Here is a 10,083-nt window from a genome sequence, read left to right as displayed (position 1 = left end):
CTGGAATACATCATTTTGAAAGGGACAGGCCCAATTCATTTAGACCAAAGACGAAGTCACCCTTCAAAGGGCAGTTGGTGATGGAGTGCTTATTTCTTCTATACAGCAAAGCAGATGAGAGTGTCTTTGTACAAAAGGACTTTCTCTAGTGAGTCCAAGAAATAGATCAAAAGGGTTATCTAAGGCACCCAAAGCTAGATTTCATAAATAAATGGGCTTTTCTTCTTCCCACTCAGCCCAAATTCTGAGAACATCATGGACGCCACTCCTTAGGTGCCACTGGCTCCCAGGCAGCAGTTTTCACCTGATTGAATCTCAGGTGCAGCCCTGAGATTTCTGTTCGTAGAGGCAGCCTTATCCAGTGCAGTGGGCTTCAGCCTGGTAGACGTTCCAGAAGCCAGAGCCGTCCGGTGTGGGGAAGAGCACCCAGCTATGGAGTCACACAGATCCGCCTTCAACTCCTGAACAAACACATCTTTGGGATGTTGTTTTCTCACTTAGAAAATGAAAGACCCTCACAAGGTCCATATGAGGATTAAATGGGAGCAACATATGGCAGACAGCCCCTCTGTGCCATGACTGTGGTGCGGGGGCCATGCTCCAGTTGTTGGGAGAGGCCCGCAGCTGCTGGGCCGGCCTTTGTTTGCCATCTACCAGGACCTGAGTGTTCAGCCTGGCATTGGCACTTAGGGATCTGTGGCCGCCTTGCTTTACCGCGTTCTCCCCCTCATTTCCTTATCAATGGAATGAAAACAGTAACACTTCTCCCTTCCTTATGAAGGAAGTGCCACAGCTCTTTAAGAGGTCCACATACCCAGCAGTATATTACTTGTAACATACCATGTCGGTATTGTTCTTGCCCCTGCCGTTATGGGTAAAGCACCACCTTAATTGCAAGGCGGGAGAAGGCAGTGCTATTTGATAGGATTTGTACTTCCTGGATCTTCTGAAAAGAAACACTCTGCTCGGTCTCCCCCTTCAGAAGGCCAGACATGGTGATAATTGCAGAGTGAGAGAAACCTTTGTTAGCATCTTCTAGAACTGTCTGGTGTGCATACCCAGCCCTACTGATACACATAGCCCCCTTGTACTGGCTTCTGCCAGCCCTTTTAAGAGGTAAGCCCTGGGCCAACAAACAAAAACAAAACAACAACAACAACAAAATATCGCATGCTGAAGGATTGCCCTGGAAATCACAGATCTGTTGCATTTGGTAAGTTTGTTCTTCCCTCAGACACCAGCAGCCTGCCTGCCCTTTTCAGACCCAGAAAGGACAGAAAGACCTGCTTTCTTCCTCTTGAATGAGAAGGGTGAAAATCTGAAAGTGCGTTTCCACCTCAAGAAATCTCAACTATTGAGTAACAGCCCTCTTTGGTTCTCTCAGGTATAAAGAGAGACCAACAGTCCACCCTTGTTAAGGCCTACTTCCCTGGAGTATGTGGTGCCAAGGATGGGAGGGGCACATTAGAAACGAGTGCTCTGAGCACCAGGCTTTGCTCAGTTTCCATTTGTCAGTGTAGATGCAGGTGGGGCGGGGAGGGGCGGAGTGTTGGGTGCAGTTTTAGGAACCATGTCTCTGGATTAATGTGGACAGATTGGTCGCTCGCTCCTATTAGCAATGAAGCCTTCTGTTTTCTAACAGGGCCTGCTCTATTCAGACATGTGCCGCCTCCTCCCTTCTCCAAGAAATCAGCCTGCCTTGCAGGCTTTGGAACGTGGAGTCATCTTGGAGGTCAAATGCGTCGTTTGCAGCACGCAGGCTGGGGCAGCGCGGCGTGGTGTAAAGGTGCGTGGCCGCGCAGGCTGGGGAGCCTGCCCAGCATTTTGCTGAACACTTGGCTTTCAGATCTCAGATGCTCTGCACCCCACTCCCTCTTACAATTAGAGGAGTGAGGGAGGTGGTTACAAATACTTGGTATATTTAACTCAACCTTGGGTATCTAGATAGATGTTCACTAAATTGAGTCATGAGTAATGCCTGCCAACAGCTTAGAGCCTTGAGAAAAGTACACAAATAAAAACTGCGTGTGCAGACTGTTGGGGGGGAGGAGAGCAGAGCACTGGGTGACTGGCACTCCCGGCGGCTGGGCAGTACAGACAGGCGCGTGGCCCCGCGCCAGCTAGCAGCCCAAGCTGTGCAGCCCAGGCTTCTGAGGGAGGCAGAAGAAAGAAATCCAAGCCTCGGACAAGTTAACTAAGGGCACGGCAGGAAGGAGGTAAAAATATGTACTAAGTGGGCAAGAGAAAGGGTGGGAGAGCAGACAGTCATAAGCCAAAGTCTAAGAATTTCTCTAAAAGTCTGAGGGCCAAGATGAAAGGCGCCAAATGTCTAGGGAGAAGCCAAGGTAAAGCGTCCTGCTGAGGTCGGCAGACACTGAAACAGACATGTGAGGGACGGGTGGGAGTTCTCAGCATTAGAGATGCTGGGGGACAAGCAGGGCCCCGTCTCCAAGACGACGTTCTCCTGGCCCAGGACGGGAGCTGCAGCCCACCCAGCCGTGCACACACACAGTTCTGTGAGTGCCCCAGCTCCTCCCTCCACCTGTCAGGCACACCTGGTACCTACACAATTGAAGGGGCTCAAAAGACCAAGGCGGCAGTCCCAAGATCTAGGCTGTCAGGAGCCCCTCATCCTGTGTGATGTGGTGTAGAGAATACTGCACTCAGAAAGCTCTGGGTTCTAGTCCCACCACCTCCTGTCTCTTTCGCCACCCAGATAAGTATCAAGGGGAAAGGATTTTCTGTGGTGTCAGTCGTAGGAACCTTGCAATGGTTGCTTTGGGCCAGAGCCGCGCATGCTCCACACTGGCGTTTTCTACGTTGGATGGCAGCCCTGTGGGATGTGCCAGGCAAAACTGGCCCTTCCCCCATCAGCCTCACGGGTCAGGTGTGTCCCAGCTTTTCTTATCGCCACTTACGGCTCCGTCATAAGTCGGTCCAAAATTATTTTTGGTGTTGTTATATTTTCTGCCCATAGCACTTCTCCAGGGTCACTTGTTCCTTAGATTTTATTCCCTCCTGCATAGACAGAGGTTTCCCAGCATGCACAGAGGCTGGGAAACTGTGGCTTGATAGGAAATCTTGAGATAACGGGTCCTGAAAGGACAAGGAGCTCTGCCCGGCGGTGCAGCGCCCAGCCTGTGTGTGGATGGCCGCCACCCATCGGATGCCACGCTGGAGACACAGGGATGAGTAAGACCCTGCCCAGGCCCCGAGGATCTCACAGACCAGTGGGAAGGAGAGTTACTGTAGATGACGTTGTGAGGGCCATCACTTAACGTGCAAATGGGAGGCCAGGGAAGGCTTCCAGGAAGAGGTGATGCCTCTCCTGGTTCTCAAAGGGTGGGTAAGAGTTGACAAAATAAGGGGGCAGCAGGAGTTTAAGGCAAAAGAGATGGCATGAGCCAGGACAGGAAGGCAAGAAGCAGCAATAGTGTCTGTGTACATGTGTGCGTGTGTGTATGGGGTTGTGTGTGTGTGATTGGGTGGGAAGTGGGTAGAATACAAGCTATTCGGTGTTCTGGAACTCGAAAGACAGACTGGCGAGAGATGCGGCTGGCAAAGCACCGTCCAGCCCTTCCAGAGACCAGAGACTCCGTGAGGGATTCTGCCCTCTGCTCCCCACTGCCCGGGCCTGGCTGCCAGCAGGGCACCCTGCCCTGTCTGACTGTGACCAGGTGCATAGAGGCAGTGTCCTGCGGAGGGGAGGCGGGGCCCAGGGACCTGGGCTCTAGCTTCTGTATGGCCACTCACAGAGCAGGATGTGGCCGTCTCCCCCTCGGGAGTCTGTTCCTCTCTTTATGAGATAAGGAAATTGATAATGCCAATAATAAAAAATAATAAAATGATGCCTCACACGTGAGGGGCTCCGTGCAGATGAGACTCAGTACGCCCGTGAGCTGCATGGTGATGTGGGTGCCTGTGGGAGAGCACTTAGAAAATGTTAGTCCGATGGGGGCCACCCCGGCTTTGGGGTCTCAGGGAACCTCCTCAGATACTGGGGTCACTCACTTCCCCATCACACCCCACTCTAACGTGAGCAAATGAGGAATAATTTCTTGTTCATGACTTCAGCTGAAGGCTGCAGAACATTTTGGAGGGATTTTGCAGAGAACAGATGTCCAAAAAGTTCTAAAAGTCAAAGATTCTGGAGGTTCAAGTCCTCTTTCTTCTTAAGTGTCACCCAGTTGTCCATCAATGGGGTGACCACGTAATTCCTCATCCAAACTAGGATACTTCTGGATGTGAACTCATCACACAGACAAAAGGCAGAAACATAGACTGTCCTGGGCAAATGCAGACAAATGATCCCCATACATATCGCCAGGTAGGCCCCTGCCAAAATTCCAGCCACAGGGATCCCTTAGATAAGCCTAAAAGAGTCAGATGGCAGGCGACAGCTCCCTTAGAGTCAGGAGGCTGAGTGGGCCAGCTCCATCATTTCTTCGCCCTGGGTGCTAAAGCCAGGCCGTGCAAACACAGGGCAGGTTCCCCTGTCAGACAAAGAGTCTCTACCAGATGTAGTTTCTTCCCATCTCACCATCCAGCCCCCTATCTCCTTTCAGGTCCTTCCTTCTGGTTAAGATGTTATGTTCAGGGGAAATCACTGTCAGAGGTGGCCCCTGGTCCTGAGTGTAGGGTGGCCACCACATTCTCTGCCTCCACATCACCTGGAGAGGCTGCTCCATCTCCAGGTCGGGGTGCTCTGCGGAGCATGGAATGGCCCTGCAGCCCTGGTTTGGCTCTGCCGTGGACAGGAGCCTCCTCCTCTGTGTTGCTTGCCTTTGCTGAGCCTGCTTAGAGAGCTCTGAGCTGGACCTCCACGAACAGGTCACTCCACGGGTGGCTGCAGCCGGCCAGGCTGCCTGCATGTGAGGGGCAGCCACGTGGCCCCTGCCTGCCTCTCTCAGGTGCCCTCTTGTGCTCAGCTGGGGCAACTCTGTGACCTTGGCCACAACAGGCACTTTATAAAATGGGAGCATGAGAAAGGATCTTGTGAGGCCATAATCCAAGCCTTTCCTTTGGCTGCTGAAGACAGGCCCAGAAAGGAGCCAGGGCCTGCCCCTGGAGAAGTAACTTGCTAATGGGGGCCGGGACCGAAACCTCAGTGAACCGCCGCAGCTGCCTCCTTCGCTCAAGGTGCCCCTTCCTCCCACACAGCACAGCTCTCTCCTCTCCCTCGGGGACTCAGGGATTAGTCAACCTTTAGAAGTGTTTATTTATAAAGCTGCTGCTTCTCCTTCCAGCATCTGAACGCATTCTACAGGCATTAATTAAGGAGGCCGCGCAGCAAGCCTGGGAGGCAAAGGAAAAGAGAGTTTGGGGGATTCATTAAAGGACCAGTCACCCCTGCCGGGAGCCTCTCCTGTTTATTCTTTAATTTCTCAGTCTCTCCAGAACACAAGTACACGCACCTGCACACATACATATACACGCGTACACATGCACGCATGCAAGACACGCACACATACTTCACATATACATACACATCACACAAACATGCACACACATACACACACATGAACATGTGTAAACATGCAATACACACATACACCTCATATACATACACATCACACAAACATACACACACACGTGCACATGTGTAAACATGCAATACACACGCAGATACACCTCATATACATACACATCACACACAAACATATGCACATACATTCACACGTACACATACGCACACACAAACACATGCAATAGACATGCACATTCACACAAGCCCATATACGTTCACTCACACACATGCACACACATACATGCACACATACATTAACACAATACACCTCCACATAGCCACATCATAGACACCCATGTACACACATTTGCACACACACGCCCCAGCCCGTTTCCAGCAGTCTCCTGTTATCCTGCGGAACAAACCTCTGCCAGTTCCATCCCAAGCATCGCTGAGTCTCATCCCCTGTGGTTTGGCCCCACAGCACCCAGCGGATGCTCCCTCTGCAGCCAGGGAGAGGCAGGCAGAACCTCTTCACTTCACCTCACATGACCCTCAGCCCACACCCCTTCTCTCCACTTCTGCTCACTAAAACTTTCACTCCTGAATGTTGTGCACGCTCCAGCTCACACCATCTCCCCTGCTGTGGAGAGAGACGCACGATGCACGTTGAGTCTGGCTTCACTGCCAGCTCCCCGCCAGGGCTGGGAAGCTCCAGCCCTGGGTAACCACCGCCAGGAACTCTGTCCTGCGTTCTTCTGTCACGATCTTGGAGTTTGTTCTTGACGTTGAGCAGACCAGGGCGGCCTGCCCTTGGCAATGGGCCTAGGAAGCCGTGGTGCCAGGCTGCCCGCAGAGGCCCCGCCACTCCCCACGTGGTCCAAGCCTCTGAAGCCCTAAACTTCTTGCCTCTGCTATTCTGCTGCTGTTGCTTTTTCTTTTCTCTCCCGACCCCACCCTCGGGCACACAAGCAATCAAGGTAATCTTGCTCCTTAGTGTATATAAACCTTCATCATTGGTTTGGACAAGGACGCTTTAAAAGTTCATTTCCTCCCTTTTACATCCGTACCCCACTCCCATTCCCTACAACCCCTCAGCCATCGTATTCTGTTCAATGTGTTATTTTTTGTTTGTGTTTTTACAAAATGTATATTGTTTTGTGTGCGTGGCTTTATATTAATTCTACAGAGGTGTAAGATGCACACAGAAAAGTATGCAGAGTCCTCAGTGCACAACTCAGCGAAGTTTATAAACAGCCGTCTGTGTGTGTCTGCGTACGTGTGTTAACCCACATCCAGACGGCAATCTAGAACATTTCCGACACTCCAGAAGGTCTTGTATATACCCTGCTTAGTCAAACCAACCTTCCGGGATGTCACTATGCTGATTCCTGTCATCATAGGTTTCTTTCTGGAATTTCACATAAATGGAGTGACACAAAGCAGTGTCTTCACTGTCTTTTATCTGGATTCTTTCACTCCTCATTATGCCCATTTTTAATCACTGTGTCGTATTCATTTGTATGAAACTCTGTGGACCTATTTTTTTTTTAGGACAGGATCTCACTGTCACCCAGGCTACAATGCAGTGGCTCTATCATAGCTCACTGCAGCCTTGACCTCCTGGGCTCAAGTGATCCACCTGCCTCAGCCTCCTGAGTAGCTGGGACCACAGGTGCCCGCTGCCACGCCCAGCTTATCTATTTTTAATTTCTGTGGTTCTGTGTCATGAATCCCGTTCTGGCTTTCCCTCCACTGACTGCCACGTTTAGGTGTCGTCCTCATCGCCATGTGCACGTGTCATCCGTCAGTGCTCCATGCAGTGCTCCACCACGGCATCCGCCACTCTGCCACCAGCTCCGCGGGGATGGACGCACAGGCCCCAGTCATGGCCCTGCCCTGAGGAGATGCTGGTCGTCTTCCTGCTCATTCACTCCCCTGTGCTGCACTGCTGGGGTCAGACAAGGCTCCATCCAAGAACCCATGACTTCAAAAGAAAGAAACCTTTGTCCTCAAATTTGGTAACAGGCAAACGGTCTGCGTGGAAGCCCTGTCTGCAGCCTCTGCTCACTCCAGGACGTGCTGCCCTCACTGCTCCTCTGATGTGCCCCCGGCTCAAGGCTGAGCATTCCCGTATCCACGCAGGAAGGCCGGGGGACTGGCTCCCAAACAGCGGCCAGGACCTTGGGGGCACCCAGGGAGACTGGGGCCCTGCACCTCAGGGCTTTGGATCCAGGTCTGGGACGAGCCCTGGGAATCAGCATGGGAGCAGTGGCAGCCATCCTGTGGCCCTGAGGGGAGCTGGCTGGAGGACAACCTGAAATGCTGAGGGCAGCAGGAGGAAACACAGAAGGAACCTGCGTCCTGGGTGACATCCCGGACCTGCTGCACTCGCCGGCCCTGGAGCCACCTGCCTCTGGCTTCATGTGAGCTGTCACACTGTTATTATTATTTCGTTCCTCAAGTAGGGGTTTCCTGCTCCTTGCAGCCGGAAGCAGTAAGTGGTAGCCACCCCACCCCTGCAGGGCAGTCTTCTGATGGCTCTGAGCTCCCTGAGGTGGGGGCGAGGCAGGGTCTGTGCTCCACTCTGAGGGCCCAGTGGAGCAGCAGGTGTTCGAACACATAGGGTTTACCCCAGGCAGAAACCACCCTCATAAGGGCATGAGACCCAGGCAGAGTGAGCTCTCTGGCCTCTTGGTATTTTCTTTTGTGTCTGTCTTCTCAGCAGCCTATGAGCTCCTCCAGGGCAAAAAACTGCCATCATGCTAAGGGGTTCTGGACCCTGGGGCCAGGCACAGGGCCAGGGACAGAGTGGGCAGGTAACGAAGGCTTGCTGGGCACCGTGGGAGAGAAGGGAACGGAGGCATTGAGGGGCAAGAGAAAAGGAGAAGTGGAAGGCCAGACAGGCAGAGAAGGAAAGGTTCGTGGAGAGCAGTCTCTTCATGGGGACCCAAGGAGGCCCCACCAGAGAGGAACTGAGGCTGTGAAATGGAAGGATGGAGGCCTGAGGGATCCAGGCCAGTGGACAAGTGAGCCCGAGCAGACGGAACCATCCCCATGCCTATCTGGTTGTCTCCTCCTCCTCCTGCTCCTCACCCCCTTCCTCCTCCTCCACCTCCTCCTTCTCCCCCTCCTCCTCCTTCTCCCCCTCTTCCTCCTCGCCCTCTCCCTCCCCCTCTTCTTCCTCCTCCTCCCTCTCTTCCTCCTCCTCCCCCTCTTCCTCCCCCTCTTCATCCCACTCTTCCTCCTCCCCTCTTCCTCCCCCTCTTCCTCCTCCTCCCCCTCTTACTCCTCCCCTTCTTCTTCCCCCTCTTCCTCCTCCCCTCTTCCTCCTCCTCCTCCTCCCCCTTCCTTCTCCTCCTCTTCTTCCTCCTCCTTCCCCTTCCTCCTCCTCCTCCCCCTCTTCTTCCTCCTTCTCCTATCCTCTTTTTCTTCCTCAACCTTTTCCTCCTCCTCCTCCTCCTCCTTCCCCGCCTTACCCCTCCTTCCCCACACTCTGAAATGAGCACATGGCTCAGACTGAGAGGACAAACCTCCAGCTGAATTTAGTTGTAGCTGTGGTTCCCCAAAATGCTTTGAGGATTCATCAGAACCAGTAGCTGCCTCTCTGCTTCCTCATCTACACACCTAATTTTGTAGCTTCAGAACAGGTGTGACTCAGGCAGAGGAAGGGCTACACAGGTGTCACTGTGCCCACCCCTAGGGAGACTGCTACAGACAGACTTCCCGGTGGGACCCGGCCCCCACCCATGCATGGTGGCCACGGGCATGAGGAGGGTGATAATGACAAGGGGAGCCACGATGACCACAGGGTTTATAGAGATCTCGCCATTTGCTGAGCAATGTGGAGGAACGTTACACACACCATGTCGCCTCCCCCGATGCCTGCAGGGCAGGTATCATTGCCCTGCATTCTATTGAGGAGGAAATTGAGTTGGAAGTGCCCAAGATCACGTCGTTAATAAATGGCAGGGCCTAAACAAGCCCTTAGCCGCTACAACACTCCTTGTTGCCACTGTGTTGGAAGCTTAATCAGCATTAATTCTTCTTTCAAACTCAAATGCTACCCCCGTTGTGTTAACCTCTTCAGAAGTGTCTGCCAGTGTGTTCCGTAATGATCCAAGAGCCCTTCTCACATTTATCCTTGACTATTACGGTCTTCACGTTGATTGTATGCCTGGTGTATCTCTGAGCGCAAGGATCCCATCCCCTCACCTCTGTATCACCCCTGCTGTGCCTGACATGGAGAGAGGCCCATCCCACGAAGCCTCCCGCAGGCAGTGCGGTGAGTGCAGGCAGCCTGGGCTCGGTGGTCCTGGCTCTTTCGTGAATGGGGCATGACACCGAGGAGGGCCCTTCTCTCCTGGTCTCAGTTATGTTTCTGGAAAGTTGAGGGCTCAGCTCCAGTAATTCCAGAAGCCCCTTTGAGCATGAGCATTTGATGGCTCCCACTCGCCTCTGCCACTTCCTCCGGGACTGTTTCCAGAGAGGGAACCGGGGTCCGGAGTCCTCCTCTATCCTCCGAGGCGTGCCCAAGGATTTCAGCACGGGAACATCAGCCCAACTAAGGCGAGCCATGGGGCTGGCCCCTGAGGGCGGTGGGCCAAGGGAGCAAG

General features: G+C 53.2%; 1 long non-coding RNA gene across 1 annotated transcript, besides 1 other annotated feature; it reads left to right on the top strand.

Annotated features, from left to right (window-relative positions):
• The first annotated feature begins 2,093 nt into the window (after nt 1-2,093).
• On the top strand, nt 2,094-9,468 carry LINC00940 (long intergenic non-protein coding RNA 940). The gene is made up of 2 exons (NR_036546.1): nt 2,094-2,216; nt 7,240-9,468. It is a non-coding gene; the product is annotated as a long intergenic non-protein coding RNA 940 (long non-coding RNA).
• Nucleotides 4,916-5,514: an enhancer, noted in NCBI's record as "H3K27ac-H3K4me1 hESC enhancer chr12:2042322-2042920 (GRCh37/hg19 assembly coordinates)". NCBI's record gives its function as "activates a minimal SCP1, AML or CMV promoter by ChIP-STARR-seq in naive H9 embryonic stem cells {active_cell/tissue: H9 hESC(naive)}" and the evidence as "EXISTENCE:reporter gene assay evidence [ECO:0000049][PMID:30033119]".
• Nucleotides 9,469-10,083: the final 615 nt, after the last annotated feature.

The sequence above is a fragment of the Homo sapiens genome, chromosome 12, assembly GCF_000001405.40.
Source record: "Homo sapiens chromosome 12, GRCh38.p14 Primary Assembly".
Lineage (NCBI taxonomy): Eukaryota > Metazoa > Chordata > Mammalia > Primates > Hominidae > Homo > Homo sapiens.
This window is presented reverse-complemented; position numbering and strand designations above follow the sequence as displayed.